General features: G+C 42.6%; 1 protein-coding gene across 9 annotated transcripts in view, besides 4 other annotated features; it reads left to right on the forward strand.

The window, feature by feature from the left end:
- Positions 206-825: a silencer, noted in NCBI's record as "silent region_3272". NCBI's record gives its function as "represses an Ori minimal core promoter by ATAC-STARR-seq in GM12878 lymphoblastoid cells {active_cell/tissue: GM12878}" and the evidence as "EXISTENCE:reporter gene assay evidence [ECO:0000049][PMID:35858748]".
- The window catches only part of EXT2 (exostosin glycosyltransferase 2), a 156,285-nt gene continuing 131,204 nt past the window's right edge, over positions 339-25,419 (forward strand). For 2 of the 9 annotated variants that reach the window (NM_001178083.3, NM_207122.2), the window contains exons 1-4: positions 339-513; positions 12,344-12,909; positions 13,855-13,944; positions 18,846-18,962. In NM_001178083.3, the coding sequence (NP_001171554.1) occupies positions 12,374-12,909; positions 13,855-13,944; positions 18,846-18,962 (743 nt within the window). In that variant the 5' untranslated portion in view covers positions 339-513; positions 12,344-12,373. Of the gene's footprint in view, positions 514-857; positions 983-8,367; positions 8,407-9,108; positions 9,445-11,413; positions 11,434-12,343; positions 12,910-13,854; positions 13,945-18,845; positions 18,963-25,419 lie in introns of those variants that run through there. The other 7 variants (XM_047426529.1, NM_001389630.1, XM_011519950.2 and 4 more) reach the window with 7 other exon arrangements.
- Positions 1,246-1,295: an enhancer, noted in NCBI's record as "active region_4650". NCBI's record gives its function as "activates an Ori minimal core promoter by ATAC-STARR-seq in GM12878 lymphoblastoid cells {active_cell/tissue: GM12878}" and the evidence as "EXISTENCE:reporter gene assay evidence [ECO:0000049][PMID:35858748]".
- Positions 15,108-15,187: an enhancer, noted in NCBI's record as "active region_4651". NCBI's record gives its function as "activates an Ori minimal core promoter by ATAC-STARR-seq in GM12878 lymphoblastoid cells {active_cell/tissue: GM12878}" and the evidence as "EXISTENCE:reporter gene assay evidence [ECO:0000049][PMID:35858748]".
- Positions 18,108-18,157: an enhancer, noted in NCBI's record as "active region_4652". NCBI's record gives its function as "activates an Ori minimal core promoter by ATAC-STARR-seq in GM12878 lymphoblastoid cells {active_cell/tissue: GM12878}" and the evidence as "EXISTENCE:reporter gene assay evidence [ECO:0000049][PMID:35858748]".

Here is a 25,419-nt window from a genome sequence, read left to right on the forward strand (position 1 = left end):
GAATATCCATAGGGCAAACTCCGTACAGAGAGCTTGTTGGAATGAAGGGTACCAGCATTTTCCGTTTGATGGATAGTACCAAATTGCCCTCCAGGAATGTTATACGCTCACCAGAACTGATTATAATAAAACGTCTACATATTTGTTAGTTTTATAAGCAACGCGTGGTGTCTCGTTTGGGTTTAAGGATTCTTTAATTATGAATGAGGCTGTCTGAGCATTTCACTGCGGAGCCTGAGCGCGCCTGCCTGGGAAAACACTGCAGCGGTGCTCGGACTCCTCCTGTCCAGCAGGAGGCGCGGCCCGGCAGCTCCCGCATGCGCAGTGCGCTCGGTGTCAGACGGCCCGGATCCCGGTTACCGGCCCCTCGCTCGCTGCTCGCCAGCCCAGACTCGGCCCTGGCAGTGGCGGCTGGCGATTCGGACCGATCCGACCTGGGCGGAGGTGGCCCGCGCCCCGCGGCATGAGCCGGTGACCAAGCTCGGGGCCGAGCGGGAGGCAGCCGTGGCCGAGGTAAGCGCGGCTCTCCAGGGCGGCGGCCGGGCGGGCGCTGAAGCGAGGGCTCGGGCCTCCGGGGGCCGCTGCTGGGTCGGGACAAGGGCCGAGGGAGCGCGGCCGCGCGGAGGCTCCGTGGAGGCCCGTGGGCTGCGAGAGGCCACCCCCAGCCCCGCCGGGGCTGTGACAATGACTGCCCGCTTTTGGAGCGCTCCGATTTCCACTCCTGCTTCTCCTTCTCCTCCGGCGGCGGCCGCGCTTTCAGCATCTTGGTACCCACCTGTTCTCCTAGCCAACCTTCGCCCCCAGTCCGCTCCTTCCTTTCCTCCTGCGACCCGCCCTCCGCCCTCCGCCGTGACCCCTCCCTTCCTGCTGCCACCTTCCCGCCAGCCACAGGGATCTGATTCCTCCCAGGGGGATGTCCTGCGCCTCAGGGTCCGGTGGTGGCCTGCGGCATCCCTTGCGGTGCCAGAAGCCGTGGGACGAGGTAGGGAAGGGGCCAGGGGCATGTTATGCCGGGGACTGGGTGGTCGGGGGCGTGTTAGGCCGGGGACTGGGTGACCGGGAACTAGATGGCCGGGGGCGTGTTAGGCCGGGGACTGGGTGGCCGGGGTCATGTTGGGCCAGGCACTAGGTGGCTGGGGGCGTGTTAGGCAGGGGACTGGGTGGCCGGGGGCCTGTCAGGACGGGGCAGGAGTATGTTAGACTGCGGACTAGATTGCTGGTGGCATGTTAGGCCAGGGACTAGGTGGCCCGGGGGTGTGTCGGGCCGGGGCCAGGGGCATGTTAGTCTCGGGACTAGGTGGCCAGAAGCACACTGGCTCTGGGCTTCAACTTGAAGTCCAGAGGTGTTTGGGGCTTTGTTACATTCGGTGGGAACCAGATCTAAACACACAATTTTGAGAATCAAAGAATTGCTTGGTGTTACTGATTGGGCAATGCTAATCTAGAAAGGTTCTTGACTTATTTATGTGAAGATATGGTCTTGAAATATGTACATTTAAATTCTTGTAAGTCTTAACTTCTTGTAAGTCAGGTAAGTGCTCTATGTACTTTAACTGGACTTAGTTTGTAACTTTCAGAACTCAAAGGCTATTCACTGTAATAAAATAGATGATTCAGTTTCCATCATTCACTTTCCCCGACTTCCTGGTTGCATGTGAGGGTATGAATGGATAATCAGTTTTGGGGCCAGACTGCCATGCTGTGAATCCTAGCTTTGGCATTTCCAGTTGTGTAATATTGGGCCAGGTACTTAAACTTTCTGTTGTACTATCCCCATCTGTAAAATGAGGGTAATAATAGCTTGGCTTATAGTGCTGTTATGAAGATTAAATAAGTTAACACTATAAAGTGCTTAAAACAGACCCTGGCATGTAGTAAGTGCTTAGTAAGATTTACATATTAATTATGTAATGACACACATTGTCTTATGGTATAATTCCCATGATTAAAAGGGCATTGTTTTTAATTGAAAATAATTTTTAGGGGCATTTAGCCATAACATAACTTTAATTATAAAGAATCCTATCAAGTAAGGCAATGAATTGTGGCTTTTTTTGCTTTTGCTTATATTTGGTTCCTCTGTTTTTCGGAATGGTTGGGTTAAGATCCAGTGTGGCAGTGGCCCCAGGAGTTCAGCTGTAAGGCCCTTTCTAAAAAGGTTAAGAAGAGGCCAGGCGCGGTGGCTCACGCCTGTAATCCCAACACTTTGGGAGGCCGAGGTGGGTGGATCACTTGAGGCCAGGAGTTCAAGACCAGCTGGCCAACATGATGAAAACTTGTCTCTACTAAAAATACAAAAAAATTAGCTGGGTGTGGTAGCACACGCTTGTAATCCCAGCTACTTGGGAGGCTGAGGTTGTAGTGAGTTGAGATTGTGCCACTGCACTCCAGCCTGAGTGACAGAGCAAGACTCCATCTCAAAAAATAAATAAATAAATAAATAAATAAATAAATAAATAAAATAAAAATAAAAAGGTTGAAACGACAAGAGACTGTGACTGAAAACATTGGACTAAGTGGATTGGCTATAACCTGAAGCACCAAGGAAAGATTATTCAGGCAAATTTTAGGAATAAATAATTCCAGGAACAGAAAATGCATCTCATCCTCACAATAGGTTGGGGTTAAAAGACTTTTCCAGTGACTCAGTGCTTGACAGCTAGCCAGATGATTCCAGTGTTTTGCAGGGGCAGGTTTGATGTGTTTCAAGGTGATAAAGTTTGTAGGGCTGAAATTCTTGTTTTGATCCAGGTTATGGTATTGTATGGAATAAACCTTCATTAGTAGAAGATTCCTTTCAGTCTGTCATCTTCCGGGGATTTTAACTTCTTGGTGGTAGGGAGCAGTCTCACTGGACAGAGAGATTATGACTTGTTTCCTCGGATGATGGTTTGGAGATACTCCATCTCTCTGTGCTTTGGCATGTGAAAACTGTTTTGGGAGGATTGGTTCTGTGTGTTACAGGGGTGAGGTTGGAGTGTCCTGAGTCGGGAGCACTGTCACTTCAGTCTAGGCTGGCAGTTTTACAAAAGGGGTCCAGTATAGCACAGGTTTATAAAGGCAGGGGTGCAGCCTGGGCACGGTGGCTCAATCCTGTAATCTCAGCACTTTGGGAGGCTGAGGTAGGTGGATTACCTGAGGTCAGGAGTTCAAGACGAGCCTGGCCAACTTGGCAAAACTCCGTCTCTACTAAAAAATACAAAAAATTAGCCGGGGATGGTGGTGGGCGCCTGTAATCCCAGTGACTTGGGAGGCTGAGGCACGAGAATCGCTTGAACCCAGGAGGCAGAGGTTGCAGTGAGCCGAGATGACACCACTGCACTCCAGCCTGGGCAACAGAGAGAGATTCTGTCTCAAAAAAAAAAAAAAAAAAGCAGGGGTGGGGAAAGTAATGGTGCTCTTTGGATGTGTTTGCATATGGTGGGTGGTGGGAGAGGAGGGTGTTCAGGGGTGGGTACAGAAAATTCAGAGTCTATGGAAATATCTAGCCATTCCCCCTCCTCCTTTGGAAATTCCTTCCTATTTAGGAAAGATAATAGTCAGAGGCCGTCACATATAATAACTCAAAACTTGGATGCTAAACCGTGTGCACCTATGGAACTGGGAAGGATACAGACATTTGTTCGTTCAACAAATATTTATGTTTATATTAAATATGTTCTATTTTCTTTTTTCTCCTTGGAGACAGGGTCTCCATTGTCGCCCAGACTGGAGTACAGTGACGCAGTCATGGCTCACTGCAGCCTCAACCTCCCGGGTTCAAGAAACCCTCCCACCTCAGCCTCCCAAGTAGCTGGGAGTGTAGTCGTGCACCACCACACCTGGCTAATTTTTGGGTTTTTTTTTGTTTGTTTGTTCGTTTTTGAGACGGAGTCTCGCACTTTCATCCAGGCTAGACTGCAGTGGCGCGATCTCGGTTCACTGCAAGCTCCGCCTCCCAGGTTCATGCCATTCTCCTGCCTCAGCCTCCTGAGTAGCTGGGACTACAGGCACCCACCACCATGCCTGGCTAATTTTTTGTGTTTTTAGTAGAGATGGGGTTTCACTGTGTTAGCCAGGATGGTCTCGATCTCCTGATCTTGTGATTCGCCCGCCTCCACCTCCCAAAGTGCTGGGATTACAGGTGTGAGCCACTGTGCCTGGCTTAATTTTTATATTTTTTAGTAGAGACAGGGTCTCGCTATGTTGCCCAGGCTGGTCTCAAACTGCTGAACTCAAGTGATTCTTCCGCCTCAGCCTCCCAAAGTGCTGGGATTACAGGTGTGAGCCACTGCGTCTGGCTTAAATATATGCTCTGGATTTGGTATTAGATGCTAGGAATACTGAGCAGAGATGAACAACTGATTACAGGAAAAATCACAACCAGTAGAGGAGACAGACTTGCAAATACTTAACCAATTCATAAAATGTGGCAAGTGCTAGAATGCAGTGTATGAAAGGTGATGTGGGTGCTCACAGGGAAGATCCTCTCTCTGTAAAGCACTGCTTAGTAAGGGGCTTTTCCCCTTTCTTTTCTCATTCTTTCCCTCTCATTTCTTCTATTGTTTATTCCACCTCAAGTGCTTGCTTTTATTCCTCAGAGTTTGATACAGATGTGTGGGAGTTCGCTTAGCTTGTGTCGACACACTTCACAAGCATGGAGGAGTTTACGTGTCTGAGGGCATCCCTCAGCCAGTGCGGGGTGGGCTTTGGTTGTTGAATGATGTGGCTTCCCTCCAAAGGGACAGCTCTGAAGTGTGTTCTCCGTGCTTCTCCAGAGGGATCCTAGAAGGACTGGGTATTGTGGCCTAGCTCAGTCTGGTAAGCAGCTCAAGTGTGCACCCTTCTGACTCCTCTCCTTACTTCCACACTCTGGCTTTCTGGATTCACCTTTTGCAAGCTACTTGCACCCAAGTTGTTTTCTCTTAGTTTGGCAGAGCACAAACCAAGGTCGTTGGTACTAGAAGTGGCTCTAGAAAGCAGGCTGTGAGATAGTATTGTGAAAATGGAATCACTCACCCTCAGTTGGCAACAAGGACCTCTTTGCTAGTATTAATTGAGGTGTTGGTAACCCCTGGTACTCTCTAACATCACAGTTGTAGTAAGACTGTCACCACGAGTGGTTTAGGATGAGACTCAGGTGGAAGGAAAAGCATTGGCTAGTATGGTAGCTCTAGCACTTGAGCAGTGTATGGACAATGGTAATGATAAGGAGAGTGGAGTTGACTGGCTCTTGTTATTTTCCTTAGAAGCCTTGGGGTAAGAGAATGCCATGCCCAGATCAGCCAGACATGAACTCAGGGTTCATTGTGAAAGACAGAAGGCTCTATGGCCGCATCTCCTGCAGCTGGAGGGTGGGCTCTGTTGAAGGTCGGGCCCAGAATTTAATTATACATGTGGCAGAATTGCAAAGGAAGCTGAATGCACAGCCTTGACAGGTTGCCTCTGCTAAAGTCAGGGCAATGGTAGCAAGATGTGAGACCCTGAGACCTGGATGGAGATATTTGGGTGGAGGCACCGAGAACTTTGAATTCCCAGATTTCCTCAGATCCCTTGGGCCAGTAGAGGTATGCACCTCTCTGATGCAGAGGACAGCAGTTTCTTCTTGCCTGGACACTGTGCAGAGCTCTCACTTGAGGCAGATGCCTCCCATATGATTCTTGTGCTCCTCAAGATCTGCCTTCCACTCCCCTCAGATCTCAGCATTGCCTGAGCAGGAAAGCAGTTCTTAAGGAGTTGCAGGACCTGGCTAATATGGACCAGCAGAAACTGAGGAAACACAGTGGGTTGGGGGTGGGGTGGGGAGAATCTTAAGGGTGTTGGACCAAAGGTGGGGGTATTGGTGGACTATAAAGCTGGAGAGGAGAGAACCTGTTGACAGGTGAGCATTCTCTCATGATTCAGGATTTGGTGACCTAGCAAGGACAGCTGGAGCCAGTCTTGGTATGCGGCTGGGCAGGCTCCTTGAAGCTTGGACACAACGACCCATACCAGTGGTTTGCAACCAGGGCTGATTTTGCCTCCCCAAGGGATATTTGGCAATGTCTGGATATATTTTTAGTTGTTACAGCTGGAGGTTGCTTCTGGCTTCTACTGAGTAGGGATGCTATTCAGCCACCTCCAATGTACAGAATAGCTCCCCACAAAAAAGAGTTATCTGGCCTAAAATGTCATAGTGCTAAGGTTAAGTCACTTTGGACTGCAATAAATGCGGTGGAGGCATCAGAACTATTTTGGCAGAGTATTGAGGAAGGAATCACCTGCACCTCCTGCCTGTTTTCCTGGGAGGGCCTATTCCTTTCACTCTGCTAATGTGGAATGCCCAGTGAGGGGACCTGCATCTTTGAGAAGCTCAGTGTTGGCTGTCTTCTGTAGGACAAGATTGACCTTAGGAGATGTTACTGTGAAACTAGGTTCCCAAGTATCAATGAGGATGATAGGATTCTGAGATAGTGGAGGCCAGTTGGTGGCAGTTAATCATCAGAGACAAGGTAGACATAGTGCCCAGAATGGGCAGCAAGGCTGGACTCACAACTGGGGAATCTTGACCCACTCTGATGCGAATAGAACATGGTGTTTCTAAGCTGGGCAGCTAACCATGGTGCTGCTTGACTTGTATAATCAGTAAAAAAAAAAAAAAAAAAAAATTAAGAGCTGGCACGTGGAAGATTGATGTCAGCTGCTACAATGGAGAAAAATCACTATCTCTCCCCTTGTGTTCAGACATGAGCCATTTCTTAGACCCATATCCCATGGATTGAAGGGGAGGCTGGATCTCTTTCGGGAAAGATCTTGCAACATTCCTGCACGTATAGGCAGACATTCTCCCATCCTTCCTCAAGGGAACTGCAGATCTTTATCAGAATAGCTGTACAGCAAAGAAAGTATAATATTTAGACCTTTATAGGGCTGTTGAATATAGGGTTCGGGCTGATAACAGTACCAGGCAACCCTCAACCAATAGTGGATAGGTGTTGCAGACAGATGCTCTAGTCTCCCATCCTGCTTAGAGACCAGCTGTATTCTAAATGAGTCTTCAGAAGGCTCCTGGTAGCCTTAGGAGCCCCTGTTGCCCACTGCAGTAACCAGCCTAAGAACACACTTTTTATTGGCTTTGCCCTGTTGCCTGTCTCCTTGCTCCCTCACTGTGGCTTTCTGAGATCACCTCCCAAGTAAGTAGACTACTTGCACTCCTGTCTTTGTCTCTGTCTCTCTCTTTTTTTTTTTTTTTTTTTTTGCACGGGGTCGGGGGTATGAGGGGAGTCAAACTATGACAGGTAGCAAGCAAAATATGATACTTAAGACTAACATAGTGAGTGTCAGCTCCCTCTTCCTTCTGCTGAGGCCACTTGGGACTCTGGAGTCAGTTCCTGTGGTTCCGTATCTTCTCCAACAATACTTGGTGGTGTTTGACTCTTAATTTGCCTATGCTGTTGGGTATAGGTCTCATTGTGGTCTTACTTTCCATGACCATTAAGGAGACTAAACATCTTTTTATATGTTTATGTGCCTTTTTTGCCTTTTCTGTGAAATTCCTGTTTAAGTGTGTTTTCTGTTTTTTGTTTGTTTTGTTTTCTTTTTGTTTGTTTTTTTCTTATTGCTTCGTACAGTTTATTCTGGTTGCAAGTCCCTGTTGCTTATATGTGCTGGAAATATATTCTTCAGGCTTGCAGCTTGTCTTTTTACTTCCTTATTGTGTTTTTGATGGAAAATTCTTAATGGTTTCTGGTTTTTGTGTTTTGGAAATCATTCTCTGCCAGATGTCATTGATATTCTCTATTGTGTTCTAAATATTTTATAGTTTTTCCTTTTACATTTAGTTTTAAGATATACCTTGAATAGATTTTTCTCCCCTTTGGCTGCTTTTAATATTCTTCTTTAACTTTCTTTTTAGCAGTTTGGCTTTGATATATCTAGGTAGCATTTTCTTTATATATATATATGTTCTGTTCTGAGTTGAGCATCTTGAGTCTGTGAATTGATGTATTTTATCATTTTTGGAAAAACTTAAAAAAACACAGTTGGATTATCCCATCGGCTTCTACATTCAGTCTGTTGCAGTGTCATATGTCATGTAGCCTCTGGAAAATGGAAGTGAATAAAGCAAATGTCAGTATTAAACTAGTATAAGCCCTTTGAAAGGGCCTGGGATGCCTGAAGCATACTTCAAGAACCAGTGTTCTAAGATTTTGGTATGAAGCATTTGCTAGCCTCCTAAACTGAGCTTTGAAGTGTTTCCTCTTTTTTTTCTGAACTCTGGAATAATTTGTGGAAAATTGGAATTATTATTTCTTGAATATTTGGTAGAACTTGGAAAATTTTCTGGGCCTGGAATTTTCTTTATAGGAAGATTTTTAAACTTTTGATTCAGTGTCTTTAATGTTATAGAGCTACTCAGAGTTGCTGTTTCTCCTTGAGATGCTTTTGGTAAGTATATTTTAAAATAATTTTTCCATGTTATCTGAGTTTTCAAATGTACTGGCATAAATTCATTGATACCATCTTATCTTTTAAATATATGCAGCATTTAGAGTTATGTTCCCCTTTTCAGGTATTTATTTGCACCTTTTTCCTTGAATTCTTGATTAATCTTACCAGAATTTTATTAGTCTGTTTTTAAACAAACAACTTTTAGCCTTGTTGACCATTTCTATTTTGTTTTTTAATTAATCTCTGTGCTTTTATTTATTATTTTCTTCTGTTATCTTTGGTTTTACTTTGTTGTGATATGTCTTTTTTATAGTTAATCTGCAACTCATAAAGATTTGTGAAGCTCATGTGTGAATACAGTTTTTGTTCCCTTAACCTCAATTTTGTCATACATAGAAGCTATTTTTCAAGCTATGGAGGACCCATTATTGGGTGGTATAATTGATCTAGTAGGTTATGGCCAGAATTTTTTAAAAAGCAATAGAATAACAGAGTAGAAAAATGGAGGGTTCATTGCGTGTTCTGTGGCTAACACTGTGTACTCACAGTACATAGCTTAAATGTTGTTTTTTGAAGCTTTATTTAAAATATCCATATACACACATATATATATCTGTCTATATTGGGTCACAATATAACATATATTTCTTACTGTCAATTTTAGTTTAAAAAAAGTTTTGAAAAACACTATTAAAGGGTAGTTTGTCTAATATTAATAAAGGTTTAAAACCAGATGGCACAAAATACTTGAGGAGCTTGTTTTTAAATGACATATTCTGTGGCCCTATTTTAAACTTACTGATAACAGCCTCCAGTGGTGGGGCCAAGGAATCTGTTTTAACAAACTCTTGTGCTTCTTACCCTTCAGGTGTTGGGGAACCACTGATTCAAGTATACACATAGACCTTGAGAGCTTCTTGGGAAGTTCTAACATGGGCCAGCGGAGGGCAGCTCCTTGCCTGCATTTGTCCCAAAACTTCCTGTCTTCAAACTCCAGGAGGGATATGCAGAATGGCAAGGAAGCCATACCATAGGGTGGGCCTGCAGCTGGTAGGGGATGGGAGCAGGCAGGAATATTCTGCTTACTGTTAGAATGATAGAAAAAGTGAAATCGCTGTCATGCCACATTTCTGTCATAGAACAATTAGAATATATTGAGTGACTGATGTATATACTCCAAAGATGATAATCTTTTAAGCTCAAAATGTATGAATTTTCATGTATTAGTCAATGATAGGCAAATTCCTTGTTATGTTCCAGTTTCTGGTCTTAGAGAGATATGACTTGAAATGATTCATGACCATTTAGCATATTTTACCCCCAAAACTGAAAGTGATTGCAACATTCAAGCTTGGCAATACTCAGCTCGCTAGGCAGGAAGCAGTTTACCATGTGGGCACTGATGGGGAGAGCTCCATTTATCCGAAGCAAAAATGGTTGATAACTCTAAGATGGTCTATGAGCTTTTCAGTTACTTCCCATTATATTAATAGCTTTCCTGGAAGATCCGTGAGTAGAATGATACCATTTTGTTTATTTATTTTTATTTTATTTTATTTTTTGAGAAAGAGTCGTGCTCTATTGCCCAGGCTGGAGTGCAGTGGCACAATCTTGGTTCACTGCACCTCCGCCTCCCAGGTTTAAGTGACTGTCTTGCCTCAGCCTCCCAAGTAGCTGGGATTACAGGTGTCTGCCATCATGCCTGGCTAATTTTTGTATTTTTAGTAGAGACAGGGTTTCACCATGTTGGCTAGGCTGGTCTTGAACTCCTGATCTCAGGTGATCTGTCTGCCTTGGCCTCCCAAAGTGCTGGGATTATAGGCATGAGCCACTGTGCCCAGCTGTCTTTTTGTGGATTGGTATTTTGACATGCAGGATGCCAAAATAGCTTGTTGCAGTAACATGGTAAGTATGTGGCAGATGATGCAGCCACACTCAAGGCTCTGCCCTCCCCCGAAACAGTATCCGGGAATCATATAGGAGAGGCTTGTTTGGTAAGGATCTTAAAATGTGGTCTACATGGGAACTCTACATTTTTAGCTGAGGACTACAAATTTTCTTTACATCTCAGTCAATAATGCTTATTGGCTGTTTTATATATCTATAGCTGTATAACAAACCACCCCAAAACTTAGAAGCTTTAAACAACAACAGTCATTTATTTGCTGATGATTGTGGAATCTATGCAGAGCTTGGTGGGGATGGCTCATCTCTTCCCTAATGGTTTTGACTGAGATCTCCGTGTCCACTGGGGCAGGTTGCCTTCCACTGGGAGCTCAGCTTCCTTAGAGCATGGCGGCTGGATTCGAAGAGTGCAAAGGCAGACTCTATAGGGCCTCTCAAGTCTTGTGCTCAAAAATCCCAAAACATCACTTCAGCCACATTTTCTTGGTCAAAGCAAATCATAAAGCTAGCCTAGATTCATGGGGAAGGGACATGGATTCTACATTTTGTTTGGAGAAGTACCATGCAAATTCAGGGATGGAAAGAACTGTTGGTGTTCGTCTTTGTAAATGAATCTACCACATTGGCCCTTTTCCTCCCTTTCTCCCTTCTCTCTCTTTCTCTTCCTTTTCCTCCCTCCCTTTGTCTCTCCTACCCCATTCCTTTCTTCATTTCTTCCATTTATCTAAATGCAACTATCACCTTCATTATAAATCATCACTATATGTTTTATTTGAAGATGAAAGATTAATTTTTTTTCTTATTGATATCCTTTTGTACTTAATCGATACTTTCCTAGTGGTGTTTTTACATTCTGCCTTTTGTTATAGCTTTGTTTTCTCTCCCTCATTAGAGTAGGGTCTTTGCTTTCATCTTTGTTTTCTTCACAGTACATGATGGGTGCTCAATAATGGTTTGAATGAATAAGTGAACGAAAACAGATTTTTTTTTTTATGACACAGAGTCTTGCTCTGTCACTTGGGCTGGAGTGCAGTGGCACGATCTCGGCTCACCGCAACCTCCACCTCCTGGATTCAAGCAATTCTCCTGCCTCAGCCTCCCAACTAGCTGGGATTACAGGTGCATGCCACCACACCTGGCTAATTTTTGTATTTTTAGTAGAGACGGGTTTTGCCATGTTGGCCATGCTGGTCTTGAATTCCTGACCTCAGGTGATCCACCCATCTTGGCCTCCCAAGGTGCTGGGATTATAGACGTGAGCCACCGCACATGGCTGAAAACAGATTTTGGAATGATGAAGCTTCAGTTTGTCCAGTTAAATCATTATTTTATGTTAAGCAAGTGTTTTGAAATAAAATAACTGTCTTTTGCTATTCCACTTTTGATTTTTCTGCCTTGGTCAGAGCCCTCCTTCCCAGAGTCCCACATTTGCCAGCTTCTGCTTTAAGTAAATGTATATTGATAGGGTATAGTAATATTTTATATTATGAATTAATATTTATGTTAAATATATGCAGTATTAAATATTAAATACATTATATACTATTTATTCATATATCTAGATATATATTTCTAAATGTTTATAAGAAGTGTCCAAAGTCCCTTTTTGTTATTTCACCACACCACTTAAGGGAAAGAAATAGGTACATTAAAAGTAGAGGCTGGGCGCGGTGGCTTATGCCTATGATCCTAGCATTTTGGGAGGCCGAGGCAGGCTGATAGATTGAGCTCAGGAGTTCAAGACCAGCCTGGGCAACATGGCAAGACTCCTTCTCTACTAAAAATGCAAAAAATTAGCTGGGCGTGGTGGTCACAGTTACTTGGGAGGCCAAAGTGGGAGGATTGCTTGAGCCTGGGGAGGTGAAGGTTGCAGTGAGCTGAGATTGCACCACTGCACTCCAGCCTGAGTGACAGAGTGAAACCCTGTCTCAAAACAAAACAAAACAAAAAAAAAGGTTGAATAGTCTTTTCAAGTGTCATTTGCCATCCTAAATACTTGGTTTTTCTTATTTCTCTCCCTGGTGACCAGGAGTGTGAGGAAGAGGCTGTCTGTGTCATTATGTGTGCGTCGGTCAAGTATAATATCCGGGGTCCTGCCCTCATCCCAAGAATGAAGACCAAGCACCGAATCTACTATATCACCCTCTTCTCCATTGTCCTCCTGGGCCTCATTGCCACTGGCATGTTTCAGTTTTGGCCCCATTCTATCGAGTCCTCAAATGACTGGAATGTAGAGAAGCGCAGCATCCGTGATGTGCCGGTTGTTAGGCTGCCAGCCGACAGTCCCATCCCAGAGCGGGGGGATCTCAGTTGCAGAATGCACACGTGTTTTGATGTCTATCGCTGTGGCTTCAACCCAAAGAACAAAATCAAGGTGTATATCTATGCTCTGAAAAAGTACGTGGATGACTTTGGCGTCTCTGTCAGCAACACCATCTCCCGGGAGTATAATGAACTGCTCATGGCCATCTCAGACAGTGACTACTACACTGATGACATCAACCGGGCCTGTCTGTTTGTTCCCTCCATCGATGTGCTTAACCAGAACACACTGCGCATCAAGGAGACAGCACAAGCGATGGCCCAGCTCTCTAGGTATCTCACACTCATACAGCCCAGCCCCCAGGAGATACTTGAGTGGCCCTCAGGGAACTAAAGGGAAGGGAAGGATGGGAATGCTTCTGCTCTTGAGTTGGTTTCCCGATGCTGTCTTCTTGCAGGACGGGGTGTGTTGGAGGGACTGACTTGCAGCATGAGGCCTGTGTGGCAGCATCTGCCTGTGTGCCCGTGAAGAGTAGTCTGCCATCTCCGGCACTACTGCTGTGGGTTCCCAGCCTCTTAGAGTTTCCAAACTAAGCGTGGCTCTTCTTCATTTATTCTTCCTTTTAAATCTAAATATGCTACCACCTCCTCGTAGCACTTACATAATACACATTCACTGTAAGAAATCTGAAAATACAGGTAAGCAAAAAGAAGAATCTAAGATTCATTCTGAAATCCTTCCTCTAAGAGATAAACATTATTAATATTTTGATGTTACTAAAAATACACATACACATCTGTATATAAATGTTTTGTTCCAAATGGGATCACACAGTACATACTCTTTTGCTTTTTCCCTTAATATATCATGAATATATTTCCAAATTATGACATAATTTTATGTTCTTTTACTATATAACTTTAAGGGTTGCATAGTATTCCATTTTGCAGATGTTCTACCATATATTTAACCAGGCTTCTCTAATGTATTTTGTGTTTCTTTAACCAAATGGTGAACATTTGGGTAGTTTTCAACTTTTCATTATTAGAAGCAGGTCTGTATGGGACAAGCTTGAAGTACACGTGCGTTCATTTTTCCCTGTCATGGAGCCAGACTTGTGTCTGATGTGCTGTTGGGATTTCCAGGAGTTTGCTTTGCATACCTGAGAAGCGGCCCTATTTGGGCTTGGGGATCCTTGATAGTTGTTGTCTAGTAACTGACTCTTGTCTTTTCATAGTTGACACATTAATTCTCCTACATTTTAAATTTCTTGACAGGTGGGATCGAGGTACGAATCACCTGTTGTTCAACATGTTGCCTGGAGGTCCCCCAGATTATAACACAGCCCTGGATGTCCCCAGAGACAGGTAGGAGGCATATTTGGGGCTGTCCTTATGATGGGTTCAAGATCATTTTGTTCATGTGAAATTATATTCCTAAATCTACCACATACTTTGTAATCAGAATTGTTTATTAAACTAGAAAATTGTCATAAGTATTTTCCTCCTGAAGATTTAGAAGTGCTTAAATCTTTTATGGAAAACCAGTTAGGGCTTATGTCCTGGCATAGCCTCTAAAACTGTTTTCCCACTCTGGATTGTGCACTTCTGAGTGTAACACATCCAGCCCCCAAAAGTGTGACAGGCTTGTGCTAGCTCTCTCTGAATTCGGGAGCATTTGCCACAAGTAGATGCACAGCTTACTGAGAGAAGGTAGCGTGGATATGTAAAAGCGATACCCAAAGCCTATAATGTAGAGGGTAATGGGGGCACGCTGATTCTCATTTACTTTCTGTTGTTTCAATCAGTAGGGTTCTTTCTGTCCGTTCCTCCCTCCCTCCCTGCCTGCCTGCCTTCATTATTCGCCCCTCTTGCCTTTCGTTCCTTCCAGAAAAACCTTCCAAATAGGCAGATGTGGTATGGGGTGGCCATGACTGCCTGAGAGTGACTTTGAGTTCACTCACTGTATTTATCTGCCCTTTCATCACTGACTGAAAGATTTTGGTATGAGCTTTCTTGGAAAGCTCTGGTATGAGGTGCTACTTAAGGGACCTCTCTTAGTGCTGGGTTCAAGGCTTTGAGGAAAGTAGAAAGTTGGGGCGCAATATATAAGCGTCGCGGGCAATGCTCAAGGTATAGAATTGTTAACAGTTCACCTAAACTTGTTTATCACCAGTCTTATTACAGTTGGTGTTTAACTCTTAAACTCATTGTTAACTGAAAAGGTAACAGCCTGAGGTATTAGCCTGAGAACAGCCTGAGGCTAGTTCTCAACTTGTTAGAGGCTAACATTATCATTTATGAAAATCGACACTTAGTATTCCTTTTCCCCAGAAGATTAAATCTAAACCTTCTTTGCATTAAGTGATTATCTAAAGTCAGTTTTGAGTTTCTGTCTGGAAATATAATTATAACTACACAAGACAAACACTCCAGGACCACCCTTCAGCTTTGGTGTAGAGACCGTTTTGGACGATAGAGGGCAGTCCGGGTGCACAAATGCTGTAGGAAGTGGCTGAACACAGGGTAATTCCGGATTTGGCTCTCAGCCCCAGAGAAGGTGTGCCTGTTCCTGAGTGGGCTACTGTTTTATGGATTTGGTTGTTCTGGGGAAGTGAAATAACTTTGGAGAACAGAGAAGGGAAGGAAAAGAGCTGTTAGGAATGCAGAGTCTCCATCTCCAGTTCTGGATTTTTTTTCAGAAGGGCTTCTTTCTGTTTGGGTCATTTCACTTTTTGCTGACATTTTGGTATATGCATCTGCATGGGAGTTGGATTTTATTTTTATCAAGTGCACATGTTAAATGCGATTTCATTTGTCTGCAGGAAGGTGTCAAGTAGACAGGAGAAAGTGTGAGTACATGCCAGTGTTTAGGTGTTAGGATCAGGAAGGTTAAATAGTTTTTCCTATGCATGTATTTTTGTAAGTGATTATAGCCAATCCTATAGCAGGTAATGAATCACCATCTAGTCCTTTATCTTTGCATGTGGGAAATTTCATTTTGAAACTTAGGTGGCCTTCTTGTTGGGGTAAGGAATAGTAGATTTGTTTGTTAATTTTTCTTATCCTTCATCCTTGCTCCTGGATTCAAAGGAGGCAAGAACTGTGAATGCAGAATGGTTTTACAGGAGCTGCATGTCAGATTGTTTGGAAATTAGAAAACAGATGGGCTAGATTAGACTGCTTTAAGATCTCCTAAAGTTCAAAAGCATAGGTGTGATTACTTAAAAATTATTTTACTTAAGGAAATACAGTACAAGGACCTGGACTGAAGGGAAATGTCTGCTCAGTGAATTTTTTTTAATGCTGCTTAAATGTTTTTATTTCTCTTTCAATTAAAAAAAAATCCATACACATGATACATATATACTTTGTGCAAGGGTCGAACAGCATGCAAGTGTATAAAGAGTAAAACGTAAAAACCTGCTTTGATTCCCTCCTCTGTTTTCACTCCCTTCCTGAAAGATACTTATATTAAAATATGATGTGTTTTTCTAGTCTTTTTTCTATGGATTTAGACACAAGCACACATACAAACCAATTTTATTTTAACTTGAGTAGGAGCATATTTCATGACTTATACATCTTTTAATGACTTAACTGATGTTAGTTTTCTCAGATGTGTTCTGTAATACCGTTACTACCTTGGATTTCTTATCCTTTCTTTGCAAATATCTCTCACACATTTCTACTTTTATGTGGGTGTTTATTTATTTACTTAAACTTGTTATGGAAAATTTCACACCTATATAAAGAAGCGAGACTAGTACAGTGAACACCACATATCCTCTGTCCAGCTTCGATCATTATCTTGAGGCCCGTCTTGTTTCATCCTTACTCTCATCTACCTCCACCTCCGCTAGATTATCTAGAAACAAATGCCAGACATCAGATCCTTGCATCTGTAAATATTGTGTGAATCTCTGCATGATACAGCCTTTTCAAAAAATGTAACTAACTATAATACTATTATCATACCTAAGAAAATTAACAATAATTTTTCCATATCACCAAATAGTCACTAAATATCTAGCCTTTGCTCATGTTTACCTGTCTCACAAATATTGTTTTACAGTTTGTTTGACTCAGTGAACAAATAAGGATGACCGATAGAATCGGTCTGCTTTTTTGGGTTTTGTTTTGTGCAAAACCTGAAGCTTTATATTTGAGGAATTTGCAGGCCTGATTCCATGCATGGTTTAAAGGAAAGCAAAGGACAAACTTGCAGCCTCACTGTGTTTAGGCACTGCGAATACTTAGATAGCAGGAGGAGAACTGTGAGAAAACATGCAGAACACTGGGTTAGGGAGGGTGGAGAATACAAGGCCGTGGAGAGGAAGGCTCAGTGTCAGAGGAGACGTCCCAGAATCAGGCAGCCCTGCAAAGTGCTAAAAATGCTGGAGAGCGCCTCCAGTGATTATAATACTTGGCCTGACCTGAGTCAGATCATCATATTAATACTTCTTTAGCTGCAGGTTTTCTTTTCAGTCTCTTGCAGCTTTGGAACTAATCTCTGATTTGGGGATACATAATGGGAAAACAGAATGTGCTGTTCAGAAATTCACTTTTCAGTCAATGTAAACCATGTGTTCTGTAAAGCAAGGGATGCTTACAATATTTTCTCCATTATAATGTAATGGAGACCTTGGCAGAAGAAGATACAGTGCCTTAGAGTGCATGCCAGTAGCAGGGCTGGCATGAGGCCAGTTTGACTAATTGCAGTCGTGGCTCTTTTTGAGATGACAAACAGACTGCATGTGGATGATCTTCAGCGTAAGGCATGCTTCTGATTGCTGCTTTCCTACTGCCAGTGCTGAACATTCACCTTAACCCCCCTGGAACAGAATAACAAGTTTGGGGCCCCGGGGACAGAATAACAGTAAAGGTTGATGTGATATACAACTGCTTCCTTTCTCTGCACATACACACCCACTTCTCCTCTGGGGCTGTGAGTGTAATAGCCTAATCACCCACGACCCTGGCTTACCTGGACTGCCTGGTGCCTGAATATTGCATCCATGTCTGCTTCTCTGCACATAGGCCATGGGGCCCATAGAGTCTGCTTGCCATCATGGTCATGGAACCTGCCCAAGTTCATGTTGGATGGTTTCAGTGCTGCATGATAATCAGGAAAAATAAGACCGTATGTTGGTACTAAGGATAGTTATTACATTTTACAGAGTAGACCGGCAGCTGGAGAAGTTTTTAGCCTGCAGGTTACCTCACTCACCAGTTCTTGGTTTCATAAAGCTTAAACAAACAGAGTGGGATTTCCAGGGGTGGTTTGAAAATCTTTGAACCTAAACTGGTCATGTTAGAAGGGAATGTAGGTTGTCATCAGGGCAGGGAGGGGATTGGTAGCAATCAATATTGCAAAAAATGTGGTTTCTCAGTTGAGACATCTTGGCTCAGACTTTGTAGTGTGTGTTGCCCTAGAAAGTGATTTCGATGGGTTTGGGGTCCTGGGAGAGAATAACAGTAAAAGTTGGTGTGATATACACCTGCTTCCTTTCTCTGATGAAGTGTCATTGTACTACTTGCTGGATCCAGTTAAAACAATGTGGTCACTGTTTTCTAATTAAGGAGAGTAACGGCTAGTACAAGCAAACTGCAAGAGAAGCACTGAGGGTTTAATTCTAGGTTCTGCTTCCTGTATAGGGAATTGGGTTAATAAGACTAAGTAGCTGGAATGGACAGTGAGAGCCGGTGGAGGCTACATGATTGACATGTAACTCTGAGATGATGGTGGAAAGAACTGCTTGAGGCAGGGATTGGAGAGAGGCTGGGGTGTAAGCGATGTGAAATGTGATACTTTCTGGCCACCACTGCTTTCCAGGACCATTGTGTTCTGAGATTCTAGCCAGTGGTTGGTAAATGACTTCCCCAACCAGTCTTCCCATGCAGAACTGTTACTCCTGTTATTGTAAATGTGTTTATTTATAAAGTATGACTAGGGAGAGGTGAATGGGATCTGAGGGAGGTAGCAGAGAGGCTGTCCGTAAGGTGTCCTCTGGACTATGATGTGTTTCAAAAACTGGGAAGTAAGGAAAGGGTATTTAGGACCCCGGGGGAAGGCTGGTGATTCAAGGATAGAACGCAGCTGATGGCCCCGAGATGCGTGTATAAGGCATTGTCTTTATAGAAAACTGACTCTGTAAACGTTAGCTGGTTTTGATAATAAAGACTCAGTAATTCCTGTTCCTCTCCACAGTGTGTATCAGAATAAAGTCCTTTCTTTCTCATCGTTTAACAAAATACTTTGCTTTCAGGGCCCTGTTGGCTGGTGGCGGCTTTTCTACGTGGACTTACCGGCAAGGCTACGATGTCAGCATTCCTGTCTATAGTCCACTGTCAGCTGAGGTGGATCTTCCAGAGAAAGGACCAGGGTAAGGTACATTCATCCCAGCCAGGTGTGCCTTTACTGAATCTGTGAGATGTTGATGAGGTTTAGTGTGGTGGGCATCAAAGCAACCAATACATCAGTTACAGGGTAGGGTCCTTGAGGCACTGAGGCACCCATCTTTCCCACCTCCATGCAGTCTCATTCATCTTGCAGTTTTCTCTGTCTCCTTAAATTCACAGTGCTGTCTACCAAGTTTTCTAAGCCAGGAATCCATGTGGTATCCTTAACTCCGTTCTCTCCTTTGTTTCCTATATCAAAGTAGGAAGTCGTATTGATTCTGCATCCTAAATACTTCCTAGGTCTGTCTGCTCCCCGAATCCTCCTCCTCTACCCTAGACCAGGTTACTGTCATCTCTCCATTGGATTGCTGAAACGGCTTCCTATGTGGTTTCCCTGCCTCTGGTCTTGCTCCCCTCGAGTTTGATCCTTGGCTTCACATTGCCCTTAGGATAAGATTCACGTTAGTCCTTAGCCCACAGTCCCTAAAACATCTTTCAAGGCTCTCTTTCATCTGACCACTATCTCCATCTTTAGCTTTGTGTCTGAGAACTTTTTACTTCTTTCAGTTCCTAGAACAAGCTGTGCTCTCTCAGTTTTTCTGGGCAGCAGACACATTCTCTACTGTCTGCAGACCTTCTTCCTCGTCTTCATTAGTCTAACATCCTGCTTGTGCCTTAGGTTTCAGCTTGAAACCACCTTCTGGGATGGGGTGGAGGGGGTACCTTCTTGGCCTCTGCCCTGGCTCCTCTGCTTTATGCTCCCATAGCAGCCTGCACGTCTCTTAGAGTGATGCCCATCGCTGCACACATGATGCCCATCGTGATGACTTGCTCAAAGCCTGTCTTGTTTGGATTTTGGATTTTGTACGTGCAGTGAAGCTGAGGTTAGGTTTTTGTTTTTGCTTTGTTTTGCTTTTTTAAGTGACAGAGTCTTGCTATGTTGCCCAGGCTAGATTCAAATTGTTGGGCTCAAGTGACCCTCCTGCCTCAGCCTCCCAAGTAACAGGAACTGTAGGCCCATGCCACTGCATCCAGCTGTTTTTTTAAACTACCATATCTTCAGTGTCTGGCATTTCTTGGCTCATATTTTAGTATGTGAGGGAGTAAATGAAAAGGGCTGACAACATGAATGTGCAGCATGGATGTAACCTTTTTTTTTCTGTAGTCTATGTAAAAATTGTGCTATTTCCTGGTGAGAATCTCAGTGAGCTTTAAACAAACATGATAATAAAAGCATCCTTTACTTGTGTGGAAGTGCTCAGAAGCAGAGGTGACCAATAGATAAATTTTGACACTAAAAATGTTGTATTTGGTTTGAGAAATGGGTCTCATGGAAATAGTTTGCCTGGAGACCATTAGAACCATTCTTTAAATATTTCAGACATCTCCTTAGAAACCTTTGTGGACTCTGAGAAGTAAGAGAACTTTTCTCAGGAGAAGACATCTCTCTCCTGTTTGTGTTCTACCATGTGGCCCGGGACCAAATTCTGAAACTTACATTAGCCATTCACTTAGCAAATTTTGTTATGTAGACGATGTGTAAAGCCCAGGTGAGCTTGAGACATTTTTGTTCCTACCCTTAGGCAAATGCGGAGCAAGACTGAGTGGTTCATGAAGTTGTTGCTTAGGACATCTTCCTGGATTTTTCTCCCTTTGTGGACTCCCAGAGTTGACTTATTTTATTTTATGTTTAAAATTGAGATTAATTTATATACCATAAAATTTACTCTTTTAATGTGTATAATTTAACGGTTTTTAGTATATTCACAAAATTGTGCAACTATCATCAGGCCTACTACCTAATTCTAGAACATTTTCATGACTCCACAAATAAACCTAATATCCAATAGCAGTCAGTCCTCACCTCTGTCCCCAGCAAGAATCCTTAATCTGCTTTTTCTCTCTATGGGTTTGCCTATTCTGGACATTTCCTATCAACATAATTGTACAATAAATGGTCTTTTGTACCTGTCTTCTTTCACTTAGCATAATGTTTCCAAGGCTTATTCATGTAATAGCATGGAATCAGTACTTCCTTTGTTTTTTGGCTGAATATTTCATCATATGAATATACCACATTTTATTCATCTCTTCATCAGTTGATGGAAATTTGGATTATTTCCACCTGTTAGCTCTTATGAATAATGCTGCTATGAACATTTGTATACAAGTTTGTATGTAAAGCTGGTTTCAGTTCTCTTGACCTAGGAGCAGAACTGCTGGGTCATACGGTAGCTCTATGTTTAACTTTTTGAGGAACTGCCAAACTCTTTTCCAAAGCGGCTGCACCATTTCACATTCCCACCAGCCATGTATGAGGGTTTCGATTTCCCCATATCCTCACTAACCCTTGTTATTGCCTGTGTTTTTTATTCTAGCCATCCTAGTGGATGTGAAGTCATATCTTCATTGTGGTTTTGGTTTGCATTTCCCCACTGACTAATAATTTTGAGTATCTTTTCATGTGCTTATTGGCCATTTATATAACTTCTTTGGAGAAATGTCTATTCAGATCATTTGCCCATTTTAAAATTGAATTGTCCTTTTATCGTAGAGCTATAAGAATTCTTTATCTATAACAGATGTTAGAACCTCTTCAGATCCATGATTTGCAAATCCTTTCTCCCATTCTATAGACTGCTTTTCACTTTCTTTTTTTTTTTTTTTTTGAGACGGAGTTTTGCTCTTGTTGCCCAAGCTGGAGTGCAATGGCGTGATCTCGGCTCACCAAAACCTCCGCCTCCCAGATTCAAGCGATTCTCCTGCCTCAACCTCCCAAGTAGCTGGGATTACAGGCGTGTGCCACCACGCCCAGCTAATTTTGTATTTTTTGCAGAGACGGGGTTTCTCCATGTTTGTCAGGCTGGTTTCAAACTCCTGACCTCAGGTGATCCACCCACCTTGGCCTCCCAAAGTGCTGGGATTACAGGTGTGAGCCACCGCACCCGGCCTCACATTCTTGATAGTGTCCTTTGATGCACAAAAGTTCCTCATTTTGATGAAGTCAATTTATCTATTTTTCCTTTGGTTACTTGCAGTTTTGGTGTCATTTTTAAGAAACCATTGCCTAATCCAAGGCCATGAAGATTTACCCTTACGTTTTCTTCTAAGAGTTTTACAGTTTTGGCTCTTACATTTAGATTTATGGTTCATTTTGGTTAATTTTTGTATGTGGTATAAGGTGGGGGTCCAACTTCATTCTTTTGCTTGTGTATGTCTAGTTGTCTGAACACCACTGGTTGAAAAAACAAGTCTTCTTCTATTGAATGGTCTTGGTACCCTTGTTAAAAATCAACTGGCCATAGATATATGGGTTTATTTTTGGATTGTCAATTCGAATCTGTTGGTCTATATGTCTATTATGCCAGTACTACATTGTCTTGGTTACCTTAGCTTTGTATTAAGTTTTGAAATAAATGTAAGTTCTCCAACTTTGTTCTTCCTTTTTCTTGTTTTAAGAGACGAGGTCTCGCTCTGTCACCCTGGAGTGCTGGATCGAATGGGTGGGATCATAACTCACTGCAGCCTTGAACCCCTGGGCTCAGGTGATCCTCCTGCCTCAGCCTCCCAAGTAGCTAGGACTATAGGTACATGCCACCACGCTTGGCTAATTTTTTATAGAGATGGGTTCTTGTGATACTGCCCAGGCTGTGTTCTTCTTTTTCAGAGTTTTCCTGACTATTCAGGTCCTTTGCATTTTAATTAACTATTTTTGTTATAAGTAAATATAAATGAAAAACAGTCTAAACTCTTTGTGCTTATGCAACTACAAAACTGAAACAAATTTACAAGGTTAAATATAAGCACATCTACAAAACTAATAACATTCAGATTAACATAATTGAATATGATAGCTGATGCTGTTTCTTTGAAATGAGATTGCATCTTTAAGGTGAATATGGAGTTAATTACGGGTTTGCTGGGTTTGATGTGCCTATACTGTTGTATGTTGGGTGAAAATGTACTTTTTTTTTTAACCATGTTTTCTATTTGAAACATTAGAAGCTTCCCTTTAGATAGCATATTGTGACATCATTTATCTTCATATGGTACAGATGCATGATTCATATTTTTTCCAATATTTTATTATGAAAATTTCCAAACAGCAAAGTTTAAAAAATTTTACACTGAACATAATGTATACCCACAGCCTAGATTCTATCTGCATTTTTACTCTACTGCTTTATATGATTTACATTTTTAGTGTTTCTCTCATCTCATTAGTCCACTAAATAGAAACTTGGAAGTTGAATATTTTTTAGCAGTATTCATCATTAAATATGAGCAAAACTATCCCCATACTAATTTTTTGGATTATCATCACAATGGAAATACACAAATAATTCTTCTAGTGAATTCACGGACAGAAGAAACTGATATAATTCAGTGCCCTATTTCGAGGTTAGATTTTCATAAATTCAGAAAGGATGAGATCATCTACATAAGCCCCGCTGGTACCCTTTGGGGTGGTACAAGTTTCTGTTATGTGCCTAGGGTCTTAATTTGGCATATTTATGTAGCACGAGATAGAAATAACTATAAGTAGGGAAAAAAGTTACTTCTCTGCTGCTTCTGTGAGCATTTACTTAAATCTGTTCTGTGATTTAAAAAGTTTTTATTCATTTCTTTTTCTCTTTTTTTCCTCCTAAAGTTGTTCTGGAAATTATTTAATTCAATTCAGTTTAGTTCAGTTCACTTCAAGTCAAACCTTTATTGAAAGCCTGTTTGGACCAAGTATTGGGCTAGACTGCTGTCTCTCATCAGGAGAAAGGGAATGATTATGTCCCCCAGGGGACATTTGGCTATTTATATATATATATATATATATATATATATATATATATATATATATACACATACACACACACACACACACATTTTTGACTGTCATGACTGTGGGGATGTGTGTCAGAGGGTCCTGAAGACCACTTCCAGTTACTATGATTTGCCAGGAGGGCTCCATGACTCAGCATATAATTGTACTAACGTCTGTGACTTATTACGGCAAAAGGATGCACAGCACAGTCAGAGAGGTAGAAGACGCATGGGGTGAATCTGGAGAAACCAGGCACAAGCCTTCAAGTGCCCTCTTCCAGTGCGGTGCACAAGATGTTCTCAGTTCCCTCAGCAGCAAGCTGTGACAACACTTGTGAAATGCTGTCAACCAAGGGAGCTCGTCAGAGACTTAGCACCCAGGACCTTTCTTAGGAGCTGATTGCATAGGCTGTCTCTGCCTGGCACGTGCCAAACTTCCAGACTCCCAGAAGGAAAGCATGTGTTCAGCATAAACCACATTTGTTTGTGCAGTTTGGATACAGTGAGCCACTCTTATCAGTTCCAGGGATGATGGGAACCCTCTCCAAATCCAAGTCTCCAGATGACAGCCAAAGACCAAACTTATAAGCAAGCCTTTCTAAGGAGAACACTCAGGCCTGCTATGTTAATTCTTCTCTGCATAGGGCAGGGCAGCCCCCAACATCAAGAAATACTGGGTGCAAATGTCAGCAGCGCTGGGGTTGAGAAACCCTGGGTGAGGCAGAGAGTGACATGTGAGGACTGGTCTGCTAGGACTGCTCAGCTGCTGTGGGCCTCTGTCTTCAGTGCACTTTTCTTGAGACCACTTGAACCAAACTCTCTCTTTATTGTTTAATCCCTCTCATATAATCTAGCTCTCTTATATTGGTTTAGGACTCTTAATCCCCTTCAGGTTTAATCCAGGGAAGAAAACTGAAAATAAAAGCTTTAAGTGAAAATAAAACAAAGGAGAAAAACCACTCCAAACAGTAAAACTCATTTTCAAATAATTAGTTTCAGAGATTTAGATACATCAATATATAATTAGTTTCAGAGATTATATATTGGTGGTATTTTCCTAGTAATTTAGTGTCTCTAATTTTTGTGTATAACTCAGCTGGAATTAATATCTTTAACTAGATCCTTTGAAAAGGTGTCAGTTTCTAAAGTTCTGTGGTTCAATAACCCGATAGGAGTGTCCAGTTTATCTTCAGGGTAGCACCGAAAGGTAAGGCTGCGCTGAGCATGTACCTCCCTCTGCTGGCTGGTAGATGGATTTCTGCAACCTGGCTTGGGCCCATGCTGTCCATTTCGGTGCCAGCTTGCAGTCTGGTCATGCACTTGTGGTGTTAACTTTTATATAAGAACATCTCCTACCACCACCCCTCCCTGCCCCCGAAAACCAAGACAAAAAAAAATTAAAAAGTAAAGACAGGTTCAGACTCATCATCCTGCCAGGGACGTGGGAGAAGGCAGGGTGGGCCATCTCATGGCAGTGTTTTGGGTTTGTTGATCCTTGTGAGAGTTGCTGTTTAAGGGAATTCCCACATCTCTTGCGGGCTATACAGAATAGTGAGAGCTTTGCTTTTATTTTTGTTTTAAATCTCTGTCAGCATTTGTTCAATGGGAAGTGGATGATTGTTGCTA

The sequence above is a fragment of the Homo sapiens genome, chromosome 11 (assembly GCF_000001405.40).
Source record: "Homo sapiens chromosome 11, GRCh38.p14 Primary Assembly".
Taxonomy (NCBI): Eukaryota; Metazoa; Chordata; class Mammalia; order Primates; family Hominidae; genus Homo; species Homo sapiens.